The 26,918-nt window shown below is 40.4% G+C and overlaps 1 protein-coding gene across 17 annotated transcripts in view, besides 1 other annotated feature; it reads right to left on the reverse strand.

Annotated features, from left to right (window-relative positions):
- Positions 1-26,918, reverse strand: part of EXOC2 (exocyst complex component 2) — a 207,986-nt gene that overhangs the window by 6,200 nt on the left and 174,868 nt on the right. For 14 of the 17 annotated variants that reach the window (NR_073064.2, XM_017011022.2, XM_017011023.2 and 11 more), the window contains 2 exons: positions 8,292-8,347; positions 6,014-6,136 (listed from right to left, as the gene is read on the reverse strand). Coding sequence is in view for 16 of the 17 variants with exons in the window: in XM_017011022.2 (XP_016866511.1) it covers positions 6,014-6,136; positions 8,292-8,347 (179 nt within the window). In the remaining variant the exon portion in view is untranslated. Of the gene's footprint in view, positions 1-6,013; positions 6,137-8,291; positions 8,348-16,541; positions 22,765-26,918 lie in introns of those variants that run through there. The other 3 variants (XM_017011025.2, XM_047419016.1, XM_047419017.1) reach the window with 1 other exon arrangement.
- Positions 25,902-26,092: a silencer, noted in NCBI's record as "fragment chr6:517255-517445 (GRCh37/hg19 assembly coordinates)". NCBI's record gives its function as "represses an EF-1alpha promoter that drives an FKBP-Casp9 reporter gene in an ReSE screen in K562 erythroleukemia cells {active_cell/tissue: K562}" and the evidence as "EXISTENCE:reporter gene assay evidence [ECO:0000049][PMID:32094911]".

The raw sequence follows: 26,918 nt of genomic DNA on the forward strand, positions 1-26,918 counted from the left end.
ATTTGCTACCACAAAATGTTCGTTGACTGAAAATTAACTTGTAGTCAAGGATGACTGTGTGAGGGCAGGGAACTAGATATCTCACTATGAAAAGTACAAACTGTGTCATGATTTTCCAGCCATCTGTATTTACTCTCTAACCACTAATTTTTCTTTTAGTCTTGCAAGAGGAAAGACACTTTGAAACACTGCCCTGAAAGGGCCCGTGTCCCACAGAGGTAAGGATGTGGCTTGGCATGCTTCCTGACACCTATGCCCTTGCAGGCACACTGCCTTAATCTCAAAACCTAAACTCTGCTCTATGGATTCAATGCAATCTCTATTAAAATCACAGCTGCTTTTTTTTTCCTTAATGGAAACTGGCAAGCTGATTGTAAAATTCATAAGGAAATGCAAGGCACTCAGAACAGCCAAAACAATCTTAGAGTAACACATTTAGAGGCCTCAGACTTTCTGACTTCAGCCATACTCCAAAGCTAAAATATATTTAAATATTGTATACCCTCATATTTATGATCAACTGCTATTCAACAAGGGTGCCAAGACCACTCAGTGGGGGAAGAACAGTCTGTTCAACAAATGGTGCTAGGGCAACTGGATATCCACATGCAGAAGAATGAAGTTGAATCCTTTCCTTAACACAAAAATTAACACGGATCACAGATCTAAATGTAAGAAACTTATGAAACTATCAGAAGAAACCCAGTGTAAATCTTTGTGACCTTAGGCTAGGAAACCCTTCTTAGAAATCATGCCGAAAGTATAAACAACAAAACAGATAAAGTGGACTTCACCAAAATTAAAAATCCAGTGCTACAAAGACACCATCCAGAATGTGAAAGGACGACCCACAGAATGAGGTATCACTTCACACCCACTAGGATGGCTATAATCAATAAGAGACAATAACAAATAATGGTGAGGATGTAGAGACATTGGAACCCTCAAAAATTGCTGGTAGGAATGTCTGCCACTTTGGAGAACCGTCTGGCAGTTCCTCAGAAGATTAAGTATAGAGTAACCACATGACCTAGCAATTCCGCTCCTTGGTATGCACGCACGAGACATGAAAACACATGTCCACACAAGAACTTGTATAGGAGTGTTCACAGAAGCATTCTGCATATTAATCAAAGGTGGGAAAACCACAAATGCCCATCAGCTGATGAATGGATAAATAAAATGTGGCATATTTAAAGTGGAATATTATATGTAAAAAGAAGCGAGGCACTGGCATATGTCACAACATGGATGAACCCTGAAACATTACGCTACATGAAAGAAGCCAGTCACAAAGGGTCATATTTTCATGTTTCCATTTATACGAAATTTTCAGAGTAGACAAATCATAGAGATAGAAAGCCAATTGGTAGTTGTCTGTAGGGGGAAAGGGTGGTTTGGGAGGCAAATGATTAGACTTAATGGGTCAGGGGTTTCTTTTGGGATGAAATGTTCTAAAATTGATGATGGTGATGACTGGACAGCTCTTTGAATATACCAAAAATCATTGAATTGCATATTCTTTTTCTATTGTAGACAGATCGTATGCTATGTGAAATATTTCATAAAAGTTTTAAGAAAAAAGTTAAGCTTTCACTTCTACGCAAGCATGAATAAGTGTGATCTGACATACAAGTCAGTTTCCTGGGAGCTCCAGCAGACCCACTGACAATGATAACTTGATGTTCTGAAGTAGGTGCCCACAGTGAGTGGGACACACAGGAGAACATTTAAAAGAAATATCCCTTATTCTCAAGGAGTGGACAAAACATAAAACAATGACAAAAGACACAGCCAGCTCTTCACAGTTTATTAGAAATTCTGTAAGCCATCTAGATCAAAGCAGATATATATGACACAGGATATTCAGTGACCTTTTTCTGTTTGGAAGGCAATTGTTTGGTTTCATTTTTTCAGTCCCTTAGAAGCCTGAAAAACAGTATATAACTAGAAAGTTACAAATGCTAGAAAGTATGACAATTTCTGTCTCTATTTTGTTTATATTCTAGTATAGGTAAAAACAGACCTACCAGGAAAAAAGGTAGAACTTTCAGCTGACCATTTTAGGAGAAAGATTAAATTACTACAAAACCAATCTTCTGGTAGAAATTTTATTCAATCAAGGTGATAGAGTGTTTTAATTAACCTGTAAGTTATGCCAATTATAAAAACTGTGGTTAGCTATATAATACCTACAAAACTGTAATCCAGAAAACATCATGCTAAAAGATCTGCCAAAATCACCAAACTGTCACTCCCCTTTTCACCAAGCTCTCAGGACAGTTCTGGAGTTTGGCACCTAATTGCCTATCAAAGGTTAACCTGCTATCCCTCTTAGAGCTATGGCCTCAAGGAAGGAAGCTCTCAAAGTCATTCTCAGTGGGAGAGTGAAGCGGGAGTTTAGACTCACGACCTTTTTCAAAATACACATGTCTGTCCAGGCCCGAGGAGGTCTCAAAAACTGGAGGCTGGAACAGTTTGATGGCCAGTAGTTTCTGGACATGTGTACGTGAAAAAATTTTCCAGCTAATTCTGAGATCACTTTCCAACCTCTCCCTGCTGGTTTTGAGAGTGGTTTAGCCATCAGATAAATGGATTACGGAGGTAATGTGTAGAGAGGGCGGATGCCTGTTAAAATTCTAAGACTGCTAAGGCCCACAGTAGCGACTGCGACTGCCTGTTAATTCATCTGTAGTATTACACAGTTTATACTACTCATCTCCTGTGATGGAACTATTATAATAACCATGACCTTTCAACTTAAACGATAATATCAAAGATCTGATACATCAATTTTCAGAGAAAACTGGTGGCAAATGGAAACACAGCAGAAGCTTTTGCAACAGATTCTCCCCTAACCAAATTAACAAGTGCTCTCTGCTCTTTTTCTTTCCCAAATATGTATTTTGAAAAAATTTCAAATGTATGGAGGCTCTGAAAGAACTTTACAGTGAATGCCTGTTTACTCACAGGCTCTCCCAGTAACACAGCCTCACATGACCACATGGCTTCCATCCGTCACTCAGTCCTGTAGTTCTGATCCACTTCAGTGTGCATATCATTAACTACAGTGGACTATTTGCACCCGTTTTTTTTTTTTTATAGTTAGAATGTACATACTACACAACAGACAAATCTCGAAGTGTGGCATTTGATGAGTTTTGACTGATGTATACACCTGTGATGGAAACCCAGATCACAATACAGAACCAGCACCCTGTGACGATCCCTAAGGCCCCACCCTAGGAACCCCCACCACCCACAGGAAGCCACTGTTCTGAGTTTCTCATCACAGTTAGTTTTATTTGTTCTAGAACTTCATGTAAATGAAAACTATACAGTATACGTATATGTCTGTGTAAGGATTCCTTCATTTCGCATAATGCTCCTGGGATTCACTGTGCTGTATCAGTAATTTATTCTCTTTAATGTGGAATAGTATTTGACTGTATGAATATATTAGTTTATTTACTGTATTGATGGACACCTGGGTTTTCAGTTTTTGATTATGAATAAAATTGACTACGAACATTCTTATTTTTTTGAGAAAGGGTGTCACTCTGTCGCCCAGTCTGGATGCAGTAGCACGATCACAGTTCACTGCAGCCTTGACTTCCTGGGCTCAAGCAAGCCTCCCACCTTAGCCTCCCAAACAGCTGGGACCACAGGCACACAGCACCACACTTGGATAATTAAAACAATTTTTTTTTTTTTTTGTAGAGACAAGGTGTTACTATGTTGCCCAGGCTCCTCTCGAACCCATGGTGAACATTCTTTTTTTTTTTTTTTTGAGACGGAGTCTCGCTCTTTCGTCCAGGCCAGACTGCAGTGGTGCGATCTCGGCTCACTGCGAGCTCCACCTCCAGGGTTCACGCCATTCTCCTGCCTCAGCCTCCCGAGTAGCTGGGACTACAGGCGCCCGCCACCGCGCCCGGCTAATTTTTTGTATTTTTAGTAGAGACGGGTTTCACCGTGTTAGCCAGGATGGTCTCGATCTCCTGACCTCGTGATCCGCCCGCCTCGGCCTCCCAAAGTGCTGGGATTACAGGTGTGAGCCACCGCGCCCGGCCTGAACATTCTTATAAATATGTTTTGTGTCTCGAACCCATGGTGAACATTCTTACAAATGTTTTGTAACATTTATACAACATATACGAAACTGAAAATACGTTTTCAGTTCTCTTGCTTAAATAACTAGGATCGGAATAGCTGGGTCATAGGGTACGTATGTGTATGTTTAGCTTGAGAAGAAAGTGCAGGAGCTCTTCCCTAAGCAGTTGCTGCATCGCGTCCTCGATGACGTGTGAGAGCTCTAGTTCCATCACATTCTTGCCGACGTCTACTAGAGTCAGTCTTTAATTTTTATCCTGATGGATGTGTGATGGCATCGCATTGTAGTGTTAATTTTCATTTCCCTGCTAACTAACGATGTTGTTCATCCTTTCATGTGGCTGATGGGTCATTCTTACACTTTTGAAAATCTAATTACATGCATGCTGGATATTGAGACATTGTCCCACGGGTCGAGAGCTCCGCTTGCTTTTTTCCCCCAATTATCCTTATTTCTGTTGTTCATACTGGATAATTTCTATTGGTTTACAAGTTAACTGACTTTTTAAAAAATCTATTATTATCATCTAGTAGATTTTTAAAAATTCATCTACTGTGTTTTTCCATTCCAGAAATTCCATTTAGTTCCTGTTTTAGGGTTTCTATTTCTCCGCCGAGATTTCCCACCTACTGATTTATGAGGAGCGCAGTTTCCTTTACATCATCTGATGCCGCTGTGTTAAAATCCTTGTCTGCTAATTCCAATACCTGGGTCATCTTAAGGGTGGCTTCAGGTGATCATGTTTTGTATTAGGAATAAGTCGTGTTTTCCCAGTTATTTGTGCATTTCAATTAAATTTGAATTCAATTAAATTTGCATCCCGGACATTGTGAATGTTATGCTGTGGAGACTCTGGATTCTGTAATATATCTCTAAGGACTGTTGATTTTTTATTTGTTTGTTTTAGCAAGCAGTTAACTTATTTGGACTCTAACTCTTGGCTCTTGGGCAGCATCCAATTCTTACTTCAGTTCTTCTAGCCTTCGCTGGGCTGGCTGGAGTGGAGTCGGACCATGCATATGGAGAGACTCCTCTATGGGATACCTCTCTCACCTAGCCGTAGTTGTGGCTGCTCCAAAGCCTGTTTTTCAAGCCAGAAAGCACGTTTTGTCTTGGAGTTTTAGGCACTCCTGGACCTGGCTTTAGGTTAAAATCCATAAGAAATAAGAAATTCATGCGGGTGCCATTTCCTCTAGAATCTGCCCACCAATGGTCGTTCTCTGGTGTCTTCAGGGATTTTTTCAAAATTAAAAAAAAAATTTTATTTTTTGATATTTAAGTTTACAGTTGTTATTTGTGGTGGGCTGGCCTGATAGGAGCTTCCTCAGCCATGGCTGGACGAAGGGCACTGCTTTTTGAAACTCACTGCCACGCTGCCAGCCATCACATGAGGAGCTCCCAGGCAGAAGTGCACGCTTCCATCTGCAGGCATGCCTAGCAACTACCAGCTGGTTATGTGCATGCCAAAGTCAACTGGTGTTTACGGCAGTTATAATTATGTAATTTAAACAAAAGAGACAGTTATTTGTTGTTTCTATGCAAACTGCACTGAATGCTTTCAAAAGACTTATTAAAAGCAAGTTGTTAAAAATTTCCTGCGGAATGGAATGTCATGAAGATAGTTGGAAAATAAAAATAAAAATCACAAAACTTTTGAAGGATTCTGCATTCAGATAATTTGGCAGAAGTCTTTAAGATCTTGCTCTACTGTAAAGAAACAGAAACTCTGAAACTTGTAGACAATGCTTCATGGGTATGGCTTATGCAAGAAAGAATATGAACTTCTTCAATCAGTAGATCCATTAAAAGAAGCCTGTCATATCATAAGATTGATGACTAAAAACATTTTATATGCTTTAAATAACAACAGAAGTTCAATATGAAATTGAATGATTTTGTTACCTGTAAAGCTCCATTTTTGCTGAAGGATGAAACACACTGCATCAGTCGACTGAGCTCTTCAGAAACTGCTTCTATCACCTTGGATAGTACCCGAGGGACCAGTTCTTTGGAAATGGTGAACACCTGGTTTGAAATAGGAAGACATGGTGCTTTGTGGGGCTTTTTGACTTGAATTTGTTAAAGACAAAGTTAACATTCAAAACAAAACAAAAGAAAATCAACAGGACTTCTAAGTCATTTTTAAAAGGCCAAAATTATAAATGAAAGGAAGATACAGACTTATATTTAAATTCTATTGACTGATTAACAACAAAAATTCTCTTAAAAATACAATATTGGCAAATATAATTTTGAAAGGCATTACTGATGTTGACAAAATAAAAACTGTTTTGAACATTTCTTTTGCCTCTTGCCCCTTTCACTGGAAAGAAACATCTCTAAAGAAGAAATTAGAGAAATAAGAACATACTGGGTCAATATTTTACCACAATTTAAAAAAATATTGTGTCAGACTCTCCTTAAACTCTGACAAACACCATTTCATATGGGGTACCCCATTCTGTATTGGAGAACAAGCCCCCCCTCCACAATTTTACACATACTGTACTCAATATGTATTTCATTTTATTTGACTTACATTATTTTCAAACCTTAAAGTTTGAGACTTTCAAACTGAGAGTTACTGTCTTTGGAGATTTACTGAAACATCTGACTCTGCTGACTCATAAATGACAGTAAATCATATTTTCTTTTTAAGCTTTTCCTTTTTTCAGATTGAGCCACTAGCATTAAATATTTGAATTAACCCAAACATAACTTGAGTGTCCAAGGAAATTTTTGGCAATTTAAGATTATGTAGCAAATAGTAAATACTATGAATGAAATTCTCCTTTCAGTCATTATAAGCCCATGGCAATTGATAATAGACATTAATAAAAGCTGCCTCACTAGGAATCAGCACCATCACTACAATTTCCACAGATCTCACAGTTCTGCCCACCTACCGAAGAAATGCTTGCAACAACTGCACCTAAATTTGCACTTTGGGCTCAAATTCTATAGGATGCTACCATAACAAAAACAGAATTTTTATATTTTTTATAAGATCACAATTAAAAATATTGCTCCTTATAAAAAGATCTATGTGGTGACTTCCTGCCTGAGTTAAATCATATAAAAACTCTATTGTTAGAGATGAATTTGTATGTTTCCCTTTCATAAGAACTGGAAACTGTAACGTTCTATAGTTTTCTTTCTGCTCTTGGCGCTTCAAACTTCTAGCCAAATTTAGGAACCAGGTAGTGTTATCTTTGTCTTCCCTGGTCATATTCGGGTTTCACTCTTAATTAACCATGTTTTTTCAGTTTACCTTGATGGCCTCAGATACTTTTGGATGCAGCAGGCGGCATAAACCTAAAAACACCCTTCTTGGATGCTTGTCGCCCAAGAGGCACCTGGGCAACGGTGGAAACGACTGAATGGTAGCCTCTTTGATCTGCCCCACTTTATCTGGTCCCCCATTAGTCTGTGAGCCACAGCCACTCTCAAAGTGTTGGCAAAGCAGTGAGTAACAAATCCTGAAATGACTGAATGAAAACAGGCAGCCATAGATCATGGTGGTAGCTCTGGTCTCTTCTTTCAATGTTCCTCAGAAGAGTCCTCCTAACCAGGATGTTCACTGAGGATGTTAACACAAAGCTTAAGATGAAAGCGTGTCAAGTGAGAGCAAGTTTTCGCATGGCCCAGAAGCACCAATACTGTCTGCATGACCCTAAGTCAACCACGGACAGGAAACCACGCATCTGTTCCAGTGTCGGCCTGCCCCGAGTCTCTTTCTAAGCAGTGTCTGCCTTTCTGGAATCCCAGCCACTGCTACAGGAATCAGATACCAGTGCTTATTTGTACACAGGCTAAAAAGAGGTTAATTCATTTTCCAAGATAAGGGATTTACTATTCTTTGAAGGATAAACATCCTTGCAATCTATCTTCACCTTTCAAATATTTATGAATTTAGCTGGAATTATCAAAGAAAACATACAATTTCAGAGAAAGACTCACAGTTAAACACACACACACACACACACACACACACACACACACACACACAGAGACAGAGAGAGACAGACAGTGCGAGCAAGAGCTGAACTGTATCTTATTTATACCCAAGACACATTCTGAGGGAAAAAAAAGACCACCATAGAAATAATCAAATTTACATCTTTCTTTTTTCTTTTTTTTGGTTATCCATATCTCTTAGGAACATCTAATGATACTTTACCTCTGCATGCACGGCAATTATATTCACCAGTGCTTCTTTTAAATAGTTTCTGACACCTGAAATTGAAATAAAGGAGAGAAAGAAGGCATTAATAATAACACAAGCTCCCCTCCCCTGCTGGCAGGCTGTACCCCATGCTTTAGAGTTTTCTGAGGAGAAACAGAAAGTAACACCACCACTATTTCCTTTTGAGAATCAAATGGTGAAAGGAGTATTTCCATACAGGTCAAAAAGAAAAAAAAAGAAATGAGAAGTTTTCTTTTATTGTTTTTCATTTCTGTCACTGTTTATGTTCTCTATAACTGGCTCTCAGTCGGCCTCAAAATGAAAATTTAAGAATGTTCTTCAGTTTCTTCACGCACACACACACAGAGAATATATATAGATAAGTATCTATATATACTGTAAAACATATACACACTGTAAAACATATACGGTAAAACATATATACTGTAAAACACACACACACACTCAGTATAAGCAGTAACACAAAATACAGAGGGTGTTTAACAATGCTTATAAAATGCACATTAAATATCAATTATAGCATCTTACTACCAAAGGTGAAAGTCAAGTTATTGAGCAGAAGGACCATTTTTGTCTTAAGGAATCACTTTTAGGAGAAACTCCTTATAAAACTGAATTTGATTCTGTAAGCAAGTTAAAGCCTGGACAAAATAAAACATCAGATTTTAGGTACAAGTTCAATGAGCCTCACTTTGCTCAAAAGCAGAAACACACAGGATTTAAGAATGTGGGGTCTGAGGTCTGACTATTGGGGACCAAACCCCAGTTTCGACAGCTGCTAGTTGTGACTTTTGGCAAGAAGGCTGTGAGCCTCAGTTTTCTCATCTGTCACAGGAGAATAATAATTGTCCCACCCTTGGGGGGCTGCAGTGAGGATGAAGGGGGATGCATGCCATAGGTCCTGGCATTCACAGCGTTCACTAAGAGCTTTCATTATCATCATTTTGCAGGAAAAAAACCCCATAAAAACAAAATACTGTTTTATTGTGTTTCCAAAACAATTCCTTTCCCTTGAAGTGGGAGATTCCAGATGCCTTCTAGAGCTGCACACACTGAGAACATCTCCTCTATAGAACAGGGAAAATGCTGCACTGTAAAAGCATGGATGTTCCCAGTAACAACATTAAGGAAAATATTCTCCCAGAGTCTCATCCACGCTACTGGTTAGTTGGGAAAGTTGAGATAGAGATCAAGAACTATAATCAACCTTTTGAACGGGCATTTGCATATTCCAAATATAGAACTAGGTTTTGATTGTGTCACACACTACGGTATACAAATAAGGACACGGTTTTTCTTTTGAGGAGCCAATTTCATATACAGATCAATATCAAGGGCATAGGTATATATCGAGATATATATAGAGACATATAGATATACATATCTATATATATCTATATATCTATATATCTATTGGCTCCTCAAAAGATATATATATTATATATATCTATATATATTATATATATCTATATATATTATATATATCTATATATATTATATATATCTATATATTATATATATCTATATATATTATATATATATTATATATATCTATATATATTATATATATCTATATATATTATATATATCTATATATTATATATATCTATATATATTATATATATCTATATATTATATATATCTATATATATTATATATATCTATATATATTATATATATCTATATATTATATATATCTATATATATATATTATATATATCTATATATATTATATATATCTATATATTATATATATCTATATATATTATATATATCTATATATTATATATATCTATATATATTATATATATCTATATATATTATATATATCTATATATTATATATATCTATATATATTATATATATCTATATATTATATATATCTATATATATTATATATATCTATATATAATATCTATATTATATTATATATATTATATATCTATATATTATATATCTATATATATCGATATATATAGATAGATATATCTATCTATAAAAGATATATATATCTATAAAAGATATATATATCTCTATATAAAAGATATATCTATCTATGTATATATATTGGCTCCTCAAAACAAAAACAGTGTGCTTATTAAGTCTATTTTGCTGAGATGGCTGAGTGAAGAGTAATTCAATATAATCCAGAAATTAATGGATTCTTCCTGAGAAAAAGGATAATTGCAAGGTAAGAAGTCTTATCTAGGAGGCAGGAGAGAAGAACAGAAAGAGCCTGTTGTAAGTGAAAGTGAAATAAACGAACTCGTCTGGAGACCAGAGAGGCTTTCTTCCCGCAGGAGGAAAGCCACACCCCCCGGTGTCCCCAGACTGCTCCCGCTGCTGTGGGGGCACTGGGGCCTGGCCTCGCCGCTCATACCCTCTGGGCAGCCCCACCCAGGGGCGGAGATCCACATGCTCAGGTCTGGTCTCTAAGCCGCACGCCATGGAGGACCAGCTCATGTAGACGCACAGGTAACATACATACTTACTGAAAATCGAAGCACAATAGTAAGCTGCTATTTTCGATGCTCTAAGGAACAGAATAAAAAATTCACAGCCTCTGCCCTCAGTGAGAACCGGGGTCCTGTCAACACTCCTGCAAGAACAAGTGTCAGGATTTGGGGCTCTAACGATGTGCTACGGTGCAAGGATGACTGGAAATGCGAAGGCAGTTTTTAACTTTTGAAATTCCTCAATGTAAAAGAAAAGAGTGGGGGCAGAGTGCTGACTAAAAAGCAGAAAATTATACTTAGAGTGAAGCCAGGCGGTGTCACATGCTCAGTGACAGCCTGCTGTGAACTCAACTCCCACTCGGACCCCGACATCATAAACACTTCCTGGCAAGAACCCACCCGCCTAAGCATTACTAATAAGACACCCCGTAAAAGAGGTGAAGTGTAAACTGCTCAATGCAATTCTGAAGACAAAGCTATGAATGGGAAGAATAAAGGCACAGGACCCTTTGAACCAAAAGAACCATATTTTTGTGGGCAGAAAATTTGGAAAAAAAAAATCAAGCTTCCTATTTTGGGTCGAGCACAGGTTTCACATGGATAATATAAGGAGCTCAAAGACGTAACCTTGGACAAGAAAGAACTTTTGTATTTCTAGATTTTATCTTTTTGAATGAAAAAAAGGAAATAATTGCCTTCTTTCCCCTCACACAAAAAAACGAAATAACTGCTTCATACAAATAACTGGTAATGTTGGAAAAAGAGAAGGGAAAAATGTGTGGTCCTGTGTGGACAGGAAGTGGTACCGCTAGTCAAACCACACATCAGGCCAGTGAGGTTCAAAGAGGCAGCATTCAACTGGATGCATCGGAAAGGGCCGGAGTGAGGCGGAGCTCTGCGAGCTGCCATCATAACCTCCCAGTGCAGTGCCTGTGCTGGTATTATAATTTTTGGTAACAAAAACTTTAATATAAAAATAAATCATTGATGGTCTCTCTCCAAAAAGCTAATCGCTGAATTAAATACAGGAGCAAGTACTTTTTTTTTTTTTTATTACCGATTGGGCTGAAATTGTTCATTCTAAGGGAATGGCTAAAAGTTCTCATTCATTCAACTAACATAAATTCATTGAGATCCTACTACATGGAGGATGCCACTAGGCACATGGCAGAGGTGCTCAAGGCATATGGTGCTCCAAGTAGAACACGTATACATCTCCAGTATATGTAAGACCCCAAAGTGCTTAGTTATTACAAGTTTGACCTGCCAATATATGCAGGATGGCCATATGAAAGAATTTCATGTTGTAAAAAACATCTTTGCCCCATTTACCCTGATGTGGTATTTATTACGCATTTGCCCTGATGATGTGGTATTTATTTATTACGCATTTGCAAGCCTGTATCAAAATCTCTCTTGTAACTGCTAAGTGTATACACCTACTATGAACCCACAAAAACTAAACATAAAAAAATTTATACTTCAATTTAAAATAATTTGTTATATGTTTGGTTGCTATATTTATTTTGTGAAGTCCTTAAACGGTTAAAGAATAGTACTGGATAGGAACAGAGGAAGGGCAAAGGGCCTAGAGACCAGATAGTGTCCGTGTCTGGGAAACCGGTAAGATCTCTGTGGTCTTCCTCGTTCAGAATTTCGCTTCCTTTCTCTCTTCACTCCGGCCACAGCTGGGTACTGGCCTAGGGAGAGACCAGCCGAGTAGCACGCCCGCACCCTCGCCTTCCTCCTCAGCCTGTCCCGTGGGCTCTTGGGTCCAAGTAAGACTTTTACTCCCATAAAGCACTCACTTCCAATTGCTTGTTTTCTGTTTCAAAATGTTATCCAAAATCTGTCTGTGGGAGGATGTCAGCTCTTTCAAACACCTGTGTCCAAAGAAGCCCGTGCTGGGACAGGTGCTGGGGTGGCCCGGCTCGCTGGCTCCATGCAGCTCTGACGGCCAACACCGTTGGCAAAAGCAGTAGCCACGTGCTTTCCCGACTGGGCAGAGGAAGGTGCTGGCAGCCAGGGTAAAGGCATGCACATGCGAACACTGAGAGGAGGCCCAGACCAGGCAGGGGCTGGGACGGTGACGTACGGTGATGCAGGGCTCGCCTGCGGCCTCGCAGTCTCTTCCTTAAATGGGAGGTCAGACGGAGAAGGTGAGGCAGAGGCCGTCAGAGAGGGGCTCCGTGTGCATCCGTTATGGAAGCGGCTGAGGCCTCGCGGTGATGGCAGAACGATGTGTGGGATGAGTTTCAAAGGACCTCAGTTGTGGCTCCTGGCGGCAGGACCAGAATCTGATTTTTGGTGACAGAACCTTTTTCAAAGGGCCAGTGACGGTGACAGAGGGGCCATGCTGCAATTATTTTTGGTGGCATATGTCCTCCTCCCATTGAATTTCATTCCAATGTCACTATCAGTAACGTTAGTGCTTGATAATTCCTTTTAAGTTTATTGAGGTGACAGAAAGAACACTTGAGATGGAATTTCCTGGCTAACCCTACACCAATCGTATGACCTTCCACAACTCAGCTTATCTTTCAGACAACTGCCTACTCTGCGAAACAGACAGATCACGAGACCCATTTTGCTAACGAAGCTGTTATGAAAATGCCACGTGTGTGCAATTCCCCCATTCTTCCAACACGTGCTGTGTATCTATCATGTGCTGGGCATCAACAGGTGGTGATATAAGAAAGTGGGCAAAACAGACAGGACCCCCCACCCTAAGAGAGCTTACAGGTCAGTGGGGAGGAGCATCTTGCCAATTCTAAAGTAGTACACATATTTCAGGTGTTAATTTAAAATTAAAGACATAACAGTTGACTAAAAAGCATAATGACTAGAAACAGCACACTGATTTCTCTTTCTGAAATGCAAGGTATTAAGTTTGGACAATGGTCCTGCCATGACTGTCTAGCTGCTGCAGATCCTGGCTGTACATTAATTCTTTTGAGTGGTACAAGGAATGGCTAACAGTTGAGTTTGCATATAGGAACACAACAACGGCAGAAAAAAAAAACACGAATACAACATGAAATATGGCTGTGATGTGCTAGAACTGGAAACGTTTGTCCTTGACAGTACTCCTCATTTTGCTGGTTTCATACATAGTCCTTGGAAGTTAGAATTTCCGTTCAACTCTCACCATACTTTGCACTGGTGTTGAGAATGGCTCAATGTCAAATGCCGGTGATGGCTGGGGAAGACTTTGCTTCTGTGGCGACATCTGAGCCGTGGCCTGAGCGAAGAGGATCGGGGGACACAGACAGAATTAGACTGGGCCTCAGACACTCATTACTGAGTAGTCACCTGGGGGCAAGTTTCTGGACTGCTCTGACTTGTAGCTTTCTCCTTTGTAAAACAGAGACAACATTTAAGTGGAATAACGTTTTTAAGAGGCTAGGGAGGCATCCGCCAGACAGCAGGCAGCCAACAAGCGGGAGGTGTTAGGACGGCCCCGCCCCACCCCACTCTGCATTCCCAGGTGCTGCCTGGATCCACCGTTGTCCTCCTGGGCACTGTGTCCCCGGTCCCACTGGGGCAGCTCTGCAGTCCTTTGTGTGATCACTCAGTGAACAACTGTCTCTCCTATTGGACCGTACACTCCACAGCACAGGGATCATCTGCCATTCTCCTTCTCATCATAGCCTCAGCTCCCATCACAGAGGTTGGCACACAGATGGCACAAGATGTTCAAAAATATCCGTGAATGACAAACAAAGGAAGGCAAAGACCATGTCTGTCTTGCTCACTACTAAGTTCTGAAGACTTATGCAGTTGATAAGTGAATGAATGAGGGAATAAACACATCAGAGAAAAACCTAAATATATGTAGAATTCTATAATGCTCAAGTCAGAATATATCTGCGTCATCTACTAAAAGTAAGTGCCTCGGCATACATGGAAAGAAGGTATTCCTTGGGAAAGCATACAATCTCTCGCTTCTCACAAAGACAGTCCTTTTGAGCATCAGGATCCATTTGAAAAATATAGTTTGAATAAAGTAAGTACAGTAGTATAGAATATTGCTGAGGCTTAATCTATTTGCTTTCCAAAATATGCTTTATTTTTCCAGCAATATACTGAAATAATGTCATTAGGTATTTGCTGAATGCTCCGCACGTGCTGGATATTAGGAAGATGTCCAGGTATATCAGGATGGAGTGAACACGTAAGTGTGCAGGGAAACCTAAGTTTCAGTTTGTGCTCCAACAACAGTGGGCCATACAATGCCAAATGTATGGTGCACACAGTATTAGGGAGGGATCATCAGTGTGGACAGTGTGCCAAGAAAAATACAAGGCAAACGGATTTGCTCCTTGGAGTTAAAGGCTACATTATTATGCTGCAGTAATAAGTACTGTTTTTAAAAAGGTTCCCCTTCAATAAACCCCCACAACTTTCCATGTTGTTCAAGCGAGGGAATGAGAAACAGTTTCTAAGCATTTACAACATGTATCTCCTCCACTGTCTGAATATGAAATTAGAATGTGTCATGATATTTGACAAAAAGTGTCCCCACCCACACAGTATCAACCTAGACTACTACCACTTAGCAATTAATCTAGTAGCCCCGTGTGGAAATTCCCCATGGAGAAAACAAGGCTCATCTCTACTGAGCAAGAACTTGTAGGCTGTTTCCTGTAAGCCAGCCGGTGTAACCCAGCATATTCTCCAGCAACGAAGATCTTGTTTTCATGCATCAAAATAGTAGAGCAGCCTTCTTTCTTGGTATATTTGTCAGTTTCCTCTTTTAATCATATAGGAAGGTCACTTGATTTTGGAACAGGCAAACTGGCACACTATTAAAAATACTTCCTGAGTGTCCATTATTATTACATGCAGGACACTTTTCCAGGGGCTGGGGATATAGCAGGGACTACACACACACACACAGCAGTGACCACACACACACACACACAGAGCAGTGATCCCACACACACACACACAGCAGTGACTACATACACACACACACACAGCAGTGACTACACACATACACACACACATACACACACACACACAAGAAGTGACCCCCCCACCCACACACACAGCAGTGACCCCCCCCACACACACACACAGCAGTGACCACACACACACACACACACAGCAGTGACCCCCCCACACACACACAGCAGTGACTACACACACACACACAGCAGTGACTACACACACACACACACACACACACAAAGAAGTGACCCCCCCCACACACACCACAGCAGTGACCCCACACACACACACACACACACAGAGTGCTCCTGCACTCCCAGGGATTGCACTCTAGTAGGGACACACCCAGGTTTAATATGACAAATGACCATCTTGCACATGGGAGAGAAGAATCTTACACTGTCTTTAAACAGTGCAAGAAAGCAAATGCATGAAATACAATTGTTCAGGCAAACAGCAAAGCTTACATGAGAAAGAGAGGGCTTTTGCTTGATGAGAATCATTCATGAAAAAATGATCCCCTTTGCATGTGGGTGCTCGTGTTCCTTTAGTGCTGATCTCATGGGAATAATGCCCAGCAGTACCTGATACCACATAATGTTTAGCTATGTATTGGAATGACCTGGATTTAAATCTTAGCTGGAAAATCAGTTAATCTGAGCTTCTGATTTTCTTTATGGGAAAATGCTTTGTAAAATAAAAAGTGTTCTACAGGCAGACAGGATTCTTCTTCTTCTTAATAATTTGGAGAAACCTCATTAGAGAAGGTCGACATTAAAGAATAAAATATTGAACACTTTGGATTCACCAAGTCTTCGTCCTTAATTTTTTATTCAGAAAACTGAGTAATTAAATGCTCATTGTAAAGAACACAGTTGCCCAATAAACTCCTCTTTCATCCTTCTTAGGAATAACCACTATTGACAGGTTAGTGTATGTTCTTCCAGATCTTTTCCTATGAATATATTTTTTTCCTAAAAAATGAGATGTTACACATTCTCTTCTTGAAACTTGCTAAATTTCATTCTGTAATCTATAACAATTTTTTAATTGACTATACTTTTTAGAGCAGTTTGAGTTTCACAGCAAAACTGAGCAGAAGGTGCAGAGATTTCACATATGCCGTCCCGCCCGCCACCACATACACACGGCCGCCCCAACTGTCAGCATCCCCACCAGAGGGGTGCATTTGTTACAGTCGAAAGACCTACACTGACATGTGTCATTATTACCCAAATTCCACAGTTTACATTAGGGTCAATTTTGGTGGTGTACATGTTACAGGTTTGGACAAATATATAACGACAGGTACCAACCGTTACGGTAACACACACAGTAGCTTCACTGCCCTAAAACTCCTCTGTGCTCCCTCCTTCCCCAGTAACCCCCGACAACCACTGATCTTTTTAATCTCTCCATAGTTTCTCCTGTTACAGAGTGTCGTATAGTTGGAATCACACAATATGCAGCCTTTTCAGTTTATCTTATTTCACTTAGTAACATGCATTTAAGGTTCCTTCCATGCCTTGCTCATTTCATCTTAGTGCCGAGTAATATTCATTTTCCAGATGGACCGTAACACATTTATTCACCTACTGAAGGATTACTTGGTTGCTTCCAAGTTTTGGCAATTATGAATAAGATTGCTACAAGCATTGGTGTGCAGGTTTTTGTGTGGATGTAACTTTTCCACTCCCTTGGCTAAATGCCAAGTGGTGCCAATCATGGATTATATGGTAAGAGGATGTCTAGTTTCGTAAGAGGCTGCCAAACTGTCTTCCAAAGTGGCTGGGTAATTCTGTAGTCCCACTAGCAATGAAGGAGAGATCCTGGTGCTCCACATGCTCACCAGCAGTTGGTGTTTTCAGTGTTCTGGATTTTGGCCATTCTACTAGGTGTGCAATGGTATCTTACTGTTGTTTTAATTTGCAATTCCCTAATGACACACAATGTGGAACATCTTTTCATATGCTTATTCTCCATCTGCATATTTACTTTGGTAAGTTGTCTGTGAAGGTCTTTGACTTAAGCAAACAACCTGTTTGCTCTTCAGTGCATACGTATCTACCTTATAATTTTTGATGGCTGCTTAGTATTCTAGCATGGATGTATCATAATCTATTTGACCATTCTCCTACTATGGGGAACTTATGTTGCCTTTCAATTTACTACCATAAATAATGCTGCAATAAACATAGATTCTTGGATTCTAATACAACAGTTTATGTAAGATATCTTCCCAGAAGTGGAATTGCTGAGTGCAAAGGTAATCAAGCTATTCAGTTTTCATGGATTCTGCCAACCTATCATGCAAAAGGCCACACAGAATTATACTCCTATTTCTTCATGCCTTTTTATCCTCTTAACTTGGATTCTCTGATTACTGTAATTAACAGTATCCCTAATATATGCTCCTCCTCAGCTATGATAGTCTATTTTAAAACATTCTTAACAGCTATTTGACAAAACTTTTCATGAAAATAAAATAAAATTTTAATACGAAAATTGAAGGAAATTTACTAGAAGTGACACAAGATTTACTCTGACTGTATAAAAAGTGTCTGAAAAGTGCTGGAGAGGAAGAACGTGTTGTAATTACAATAAACAACTGCTATGCCATCTTAACCTATACCAAGAATGCAAACTTTTCCATGAAGCATTTCCTGTTGTAATTGGAAAGACGGCTCCTTTAAACACAGGCGGATTTCAAGGTACTCGGCCTAATGTTGTTTTGACGCATAACACTCTTCAGACAATACTATAAGAAATCAACCCTGGAAACTCTGGAGATACTACCTACTGTATAAACCACATTTCCTGTTTTTAACCCCTATGCCCCAAATCAGTTATCACTCCCAGTCTACTGGTAAAAATAGATTCAAAAATACTATAAATATCCCACAATGTACTTTTTTTTATTGTCAAACTGAAACACTACTGAAAAAACTTTGGTGTATTTTTTTCAAGTGAATTATCTATTCAATTACACTCTGAACACACATTATCGAAATTACTGCCTAATTAAAAAAAAGAAAAAGATAACCAGAAACTGTATCACTATTAGTAGAACAGAGAGAAAGTCCTAACCATTCTGCAGCAAAATCAGCTCTTGTTGGACTAACTAAAGAGTTTTAAGTTCCCCTTCGTCAGGTTTTAGTGCCCTCATTCCCAAATTGATAAATGTCTTTTGCCCTAAAGTGGATTTTTTCAATGACTATTTGAGGAAAGGACACCCTTCCTATGTAGCACATGAATGGGTACCTTCGCCCTCTCCTGCTTTCTGTTTTCCATCCCAGGATTTTTTTTTTCATTGCTTTCATCAGTAGGATCTCTTATTGATCAGCGTGATCAATCTCAATAGGAAAACTCTTTCCTCGAGAAAAGAGAAAACATTGCCAACAGTGAAAATAACAGTGAAATGGTTACATGGTTTATTTTTTCCCATCTGTAAGAAAGACTTTATATTCATAAGAGTTTAGATTCATAAACTTCATAGACAAACAGCTTTCAAGACTCAAATATACGCAAGTGGAAAAAACTCTCCCCTCTCATTTCAAAATGTAAAGTCTGATGTGTAGAACAGACCATGAATTATCCTAACATAAGATGTCACAGAACTCATTACACACTTAGCATAGAATACGTTTCACAAACTTGATACACTGAATTTTAGACATAAAGGTAGAAAGTTAATTAACTTAATATAAACAGACAAACCATTTGTTTGAATTTAGTTTTTTGTCAGAAATTTTTTTTTCATTACAAGGAAACTTCAGTTAGAAAAGTGAAAGTGACAAGAAAACAGGATTCATTCTATACATGCAGATGAATGCGTTTGTTTTGCACTGTGAGGTGTTACTTCTGGACATACTACTTCATAAACAGGCCTGGGTTAACTGTTGATTTTCACAATTTCAAGAAGGTGTTTTGTTTTTGTTTTTAAAGATTTTAATGAGCTGAGATCAAAACCAATGACTGCTATGAGAGAAGCAGGTCTGGAAGCAGCTGGGGTCCTGACCCCTATTTTCCTGCGTGGTCCCTGTGGCTACACGAGTGAATGCTGGGAAGGGTTCCTGCCATGGCCTGGCACGCAAGATGGTGCAAAATGCCAGGCAGTGCCGTGCCTGCTGCTGAGCGGGTCCCGCACCCCTTTGACTGCAGTCATTACCGTGGAGCACGGGAAAGAAGTAATAGGGTATAGCTCCTATTCTCAATATAGCGGGGGTCCATATGCAATTGAAGAAATAGCCGTAAAACCTTCCAAAAAGAAAACACCTTGAAATTAAAAACAATTTTGAGTCATAATAAAATGGAAGGCAAAAAAAAAATATGAAAACCCAATTGCTAACTGGGATTTTAAAGTCCCATTTACAGAGTAAGAAATCTAGGTAGAAATGCATACATTTAAGGAGACTAATTTTTGAATATGCCACACATCTGTTTAGATGGCTAAAACCACAAAGCACTGGCCTTGCACCCTGTTGGGACTGACGACATTGAAGTGTGAGGCCAAGAGAGGGCTGCACGGGGGCATCTGGATTGAACCCAGCCCGAGCGGGACAAGCCGCTCACCTGCAGGGGCCTGCGTTTCTAAAGCTGCAAGGCCAGCTTAGAGTGCACTCCAAGGATGTCACCAATGAGGCCCACAGGCTCAGGGCAGCAAGGGCAGGAACAGTGCCTCGTTTCATAGACTTGTTTCTTTTTCTAAGAAAATCTCATTCAAATACTGAATTCCATGTTGCTTGTTATTTCTCTTGAGATTCTATTAGCAATGACTCATCTGTTCTCCCGTCTTCAGTATCAATGATCACTCGCATCACTCCGCCACATCTGTTGCTTCGTGCCTGGTACACTGTTGTGCAGATGCTTTATCCAAAAATAAGTGCAACCCCTTTACTCTTCCTGGTATCTTTATCGTTCATTCACAGCTTTGCCATACTTGGAAACTCTCCCTCATGGGTTGGTGTTTGTCAGAAGGGCAAGGTGCATATACACACACAGTCTTCTTCCTTGGGGTTAAGCCACTGCCCTTTTGTCAGCAGGGGAGGGCCACCAGGCCATGGTCCTTGAGCCCCTTCTCAGCTCTGTTAACAGCACCTGGGACTGAGGAAGGCCCACAGTACTTTGCAAACTCAATTCCAGTTGGTCCACGAACAATACAGGTTTGAACCGCGTGGGTCCACCCATAGGTGGGTTTTCTCATGCCTCTGCTGCCCCTGACACAGCTAAACCAGCTCCGATCCTCCTCTTCCTCCTCAGCCTACTCAATGTGAAGATGAGGATGAAGACCTTTATGATGATCCACTTCCACTTCATGAGTAGTAAATGTATTTTCCTTTCTTATGATTTTCTTAATAGCATTTTCTTTTCTCTAGCTTACTTTAAGAATACAGAATATAGTATATACGTAAAATATGTAACAGACTGTTTATGTTATTAATAAGTCATCTGGGCAACAGCAGGCTATTCCTAGTTAAATTCTGGGGGTAAACAAAGATTTCAGACTGTACAGCAGGTTGGCACCCCAACTATCTGTCGTACAGGGGTCTGCTGTATTTACAAACATGAAGATATACAAAACGACACCGTATTGTTAGCCCCGTGGTCTGACCCATGCCCTGTACATGTTTCTTGGTAAGAGTGATAAAGTTAGAATTGGAGATGAAAAGTTGGGCCTAGTTCCCTTATTTGAGCAAGTTACACAGCCTTTCTTGATTCTCCAAATTTTAAAAATTTGCCACATGGGGAAAACAGTATCTAACCCCAACACGGTTGGTGTGAAGATAACATACAAGAATGTATGTGAAAGCAGTAAGTAAACTGTAAAATATTTTCATTTGAAAATGGACCAAATGAAATACCTGAATAAATCCATGAGGTTTTCAATATGAACCAAAGCAAAATGTCGTCTGGCATTTTATTTTCAACAATGGACGCTTAAACCCCACAAAATAGGCCGACTCTGCGACTCTATGTTTCCCAGCTCCCATTTTCAGGTATTTCCAGCAGAGCCGTTATGAATGCAGCTGGTGGTGTCTTTTGGCGGGCATAAACACTCATTCTCTTGGGTCACAGGCTGGAATGGAACTGGGTCACTGCATGTGTGTTATCTTCAGTGTGCTCCAGTCCCCGTGGGGAAGAGCCAGACCACGTGCCGTACCAAGAGCACGGCGTGGTCACCCACGGTTTACGTGCAGTGCGGCTGCACACGGCCCACGTGTCCACGAGCAGCACAGCCCCAGTGAGGCTAAATGATCTGCCGAACCTGTTTTCCTTAGCAGAATATGAAAAAGGAAGCCCCAGCACAAACCAAGGAGGAAAATGAGAAGAAACGAAAGTCCAAGCACACACACCAATTTTTCTTTTCATTAATACAACCCGACCGTAGAGTACAAGAATATTAGTTTCTTTCATATCCATCATATTTAAAGTCCATGAAGGTAGCTTTTGTGATTCCATAAAACCTCTTATTAAATTCCTTCAATACACAAACTTGCTAAAAGTCACATGCATTCTATGTATAATCCTTAAAGTCCCTATTACTGTAATCATAGGCTGTCACACCATTTGCAACCAGAAATGACAGCAATTTCAAAAAAGAAAAATGGGTTTTCAGATATATTACATTTATGAATTTACTCTGGTTGTCACTCAAACATTTTGATTATTAGTATGTGATATTATGAGAAAACTGAAGTAAATTGATACAAAAAGAATCTAAGTCTCAAGTAAATATCCTCTGCAATATAAGGATTTTAATAACATTGCCTTTAATTTGCTCCCATAGACACAAACTGCTTTGTTGATGTCTCTTGCTCCACACACTTAAAAATCTAGCCACAAACTGAGCTTTTTATGCTAATTGTACTATTTTTAGACTCTTGATACAATGTAGAGTTTAAGCACATTGATTAGCTTGCTGAAAAATGATATACTTTTGAAAAGTGTTAGGAGGCAGAGGCAGAAGTCCCAGTTTGTCAACCAAATGCTCCTTGACGGCTGTAGACAGTGTTTCGTCTGGACTTCAGTTTCCTTGGCTGTAAAAGAAAGGGGTGTGATAGGTCTTCTCTGCCTCTTCCAGGCCGACAAGTAACCCTTTTACTGTGGTCTCTTAGGAAATGTTCAAGTTGTTTTCAATGAACACTCAAAATTTTTCCACCTTGAAGGTTTAGAACAAATAGTAACTATTTATTACTAACTACTAAGCTGCCCTGTAAGTATTCTGGGGTTAGTTTTTGCTGCTTACTAAGAGAAGGTGGTTAAGAAAATTGGAGATGATTACCCAATATTTACCAAGTACCTTTTATCTTGAAGGTTCTATCCTGGTTTTGGGAGAAAGTCACAGAGATGGCATTTATGACCTCAAGAGTAGAAAACAGGAAACATAGAGAGAGTTGCTCTGTGGTTTAACTTTCTTAACAAATTCTATCAGATGCTCATTTTCTACTAAAATGAGTAAATCCATGCGCTGCTCCCACTTTCCCATGCTCTGAGCGCGTGGTTTGGAGCCCCTGGTGTGCATGTGAGGCTTTCTTAGGAGCTGCAGGGCGAGGGCTGTGAAGACACAGCTGCTCCAGGGGCTCCAGGGAGGCCAAAGGGGTCGCCCCTGGGGCAGATGTCTATGGGAGAAGCCCAAGGGACGCAGAGGCCAGGGGAGGAGCACACACCACAGGCAGATGTGTGGGGGAGGAGCCCAAAGGACAGAGAACCAGCAGGCAGGCCCTGGGTCAAGCCCCGTGATGTCCCAGGAGGAGGGGAGGAGGGCGGAGTCGGAGGGGAGCGAGGGAGCCAGGGAGGCAGGGCCCTCTGAGGGCAGGGAGTTCTCCATGAAGTTCCAGAAGCCAATGACCAGATCGGCGCATGCAAACAGCTTAAAAGAAAACATTAGGCACTGGTGGCTTCGCTCTAAACGAACAGTTCTTAAAACTGCTTTCAGTTCTAGCCATAATAAAGGCATTTGAATTATGTTGCTTTTGATGAAACTATAAAGATATTGGCTTTTATACAGTATCATGCCAGAAACAAATTTATAACATTGTTATGGTATAACAGCAGGAATACTTGGAATACACATTTTTCAGCTGAGCTCTAAGAATTACTTTTCCCTTGCCCCAGGTTGGCAATTAAGAACTATAACTTACTTCCACCCCACTCCACCTCACCCTACCCCAGAAACAAAGAAAAACAAACACGCAAACAAAACCAGGAAGGTAGGTTAGGAAATGTGGGCATTGAAGGTAAATGAAAATACATGAAAAAAAGTTCATGTCTTAACATCTGTCCGTCCTGTCCACACAGTCTTCTGTCCTCCCCGTCTGTCCCCTGCTTTCCTGTCATGGCTGTTGCTCTCTACAATCCTTAGAATGTCGGCACCACAGCAGGAGGCAGGCTTACCCAGGGACTGATACCCTGACGCCCTGAGCACAGACAGCAGGTTCAGGGCTGAATGCAGCCAGTGTGGCTCCAGGGTGCTAGGGTGACAGGGCACACGGCAGTCCTAGGAGGGAGCGAGAAGCCAGAGTGACCGTAATCATACAACGATTTCCAACAACAAAGGAGAGACGCACACAGCTGGGGCGGTCCTAGGAGGGAGCGAGAAGCCAGAGTGACCGTAATCATACAACGATTTCCAACAACAAAGGAGAGACGCACACAGCTGGGGCGGTCCTAGGAGGGAGCGAGAAGCCAGAGTGACTGTAATCATACAACGATTTCCAACAACAAAGGAGAGACGCACACAGCTGGTGGGTATCTGCAGTGAGCACCAAGTGGCTTCCGGGGGTTTCTTTTAGAAAACTTGCCCGTCCTTAGGTTCACTGTTGTGATTTAATCCCTTAGATTCTGTTCACCAGCGACTAAACTACCAAGGCGTATGGTGACTTGGTTTGTTAGGAAGTCCAACCATAACATTTGGAAATCATTGGAGCCTCAGCTGTCTACTGTGAGGCATGTTATAAATAACTGGGAAAGCAGAACGTTTTTCAGTTTTCCAGTTCAAAGGAATAATCTGGAACTGTCTATAACCCTACGCTACTCCAGTGCACTCCACCCATCCAAATACTGAGACAGTCCTGAAAGCGTTTCATTAAATCTCACCTTACCGCAGAGGGCAAAGATACTAATCAAGTGGTTTTGTTCTAGCAGGCCATCTTTGCTCCTGACGCTGGGAGAATACGCATTTCTAACTGTGACCTAAGGCTCTGGTTCTGGGGCGGCACTGGAGGAGAGGGAAGACAGCTGCTAGGCCACGCGTACATGAAGATGATCCAAACTGCAGCGCTCGTTGTCAGCTTTCAATGTTCCCACGCACAGAGCTAGCTCGTCTAGCTCCATCACTGCACCCCTAGCCCCGGCCCAACAGAGCTGTGTGGCACAGCTGGCTGAGCTGTCATCATATGTGCAGACACCAGAGGCTTCCCTGGCTCTGCAGGGCAGGCCTGAAGCCAAGGGATCAAAAGAAAGGCAGGTTTTCCAATGCCCCACGAAGTCTTCTGACTAAACTGTTTAAGAACAGCAACAAATTCAGGGCTAACATTCACACCAAATGTAGCCAAGACCAGGAGGAAATAATAGCTGGGCTGGGGGAAGAGGATGCCAAGACGGTAGCATCTACGCAAGTATCTGTCACTATCTGTGTACCACAGGGCACACAGCTGTGAAGCATGTAAATGAGTTTTGGAGAGAGTCCCTCCATAATTAGATAAACAAAACCAGGTCAAGTGACAAAAAATCCCTAATGCTTTCCATAGCACCTCAGAAGCCTAAATTCTCAGAGTTCCTAGTACAGATATAGAATATGACAGAAGAAACACACACACCTTCCCCAGCGCCTCACTGACGGAGAGACCACGGTAGAGGGAACGCAGGCAGCCTTTCTCACCTGCCTGGTGGGAGCAGGTCCAGCTGGCAATGACCTGAATGGAAGTGGTGGTGCTGCTGGAATATGAGAAGGGACCATGACTGATGCTGCCACAGCCCGCCCAGCTGTAGAACTGACTTTGGGGTGAGACTGAACGAGAGCTATGGGGTTAGAAAAAGCCAGTTGGGGGTAGACAGGGTGGACAGAGACACAGTGTGGAAAGAAATAAAAGAGAAGAAGGAAGATGTTCATATTTCATATTCCATCAATTCCTCCCAACGGCTGATTCTACGAAGCAAGGAAACCAGCATGAGTGTGGAACATGGCACCCTATGGCGAGGCTGTACTGTCAGGACCCAGGGCCCACCTGAAGAGACTCCCACAAAGAGGGCACAACTAAATTAAAAAAAAATCAACTACAATGAATTGAAGCTCATCAAATTATGTTTACATCATGACTTCATAAAGGTAATCAAAAAATAAAAAAATACCTTAGTAATGACCTTTGAGAAATACTAGCAAACCAACTCATTCTGAAAACTGCTAACTAATCAGGCATCTATCCTGCCCCTCCTGTATGAACTGTACTTCAGAGCTTAATGAAAAAAACTTAGTGTTCCAGCTAACAATTATTATTTTCAATTTCTAATAAGAAATAGATTATGAAAACAATTACCAATGGTGCTAAAACCATTAGATGAAAAGTTTATGGTGAACTTTTAAAGGGTATACCAAGCTGATAACACTTGAATTCAATTTTCAATCTTATCATCAAAAGCAGAGACAACCAAACATAAGGTATCTCCTGATGGAAGTAAACAATATAAAATCAAACCTCAAACTGATAGCTTCATTATTAACCACAAATTTATAGGAAACATAAGGGACAAAGGAACAGGTTAAATGACACCATGAGGAAGCTATCTGAAAAATATAGAATATGAGAAAATCTACAGAACAAAAAACCCGATTTATTCATTTAAAGATGGGTGGGTAACAGGCAAACAACCACTTCACTGAGCACCAAAAGTGACTCAAGAGAGGTTTATTTTTCTTAATTAAGAGACATATCAACCAAAAGTAATGTGTGGACCTTGACTGAATCCTGATACGAACAAACTGTCTAAAAAGCTTCTACGAGAATTTGAACATTGACTAAATAGCTGATAAAATTAAGGAATTACTGTTAACTTTCTCCAGATCTCATAATGGTATTATGATTACGTTTCTTTAAAAAAAATCAGTCCTTATCTTATCTGTGTATGGATGAAATGATCGAATATCTGGGATTTACTTCAAAATAACAGATCTCAGAGGCAGTGGGGAGCCCAG

Source organism: Homo sapiens, chromosome 6 (assembly GCF_000001405.40).
Source record: "Homo sapiens chromosome 6, GRCh38.p14 Primary Assembly".
NCBI classification, from domain to species: Eukaryota; Metazoa; Chordata; class Mammalia; order Primates; family Hominidae; genus Homo; species Homo sapiens.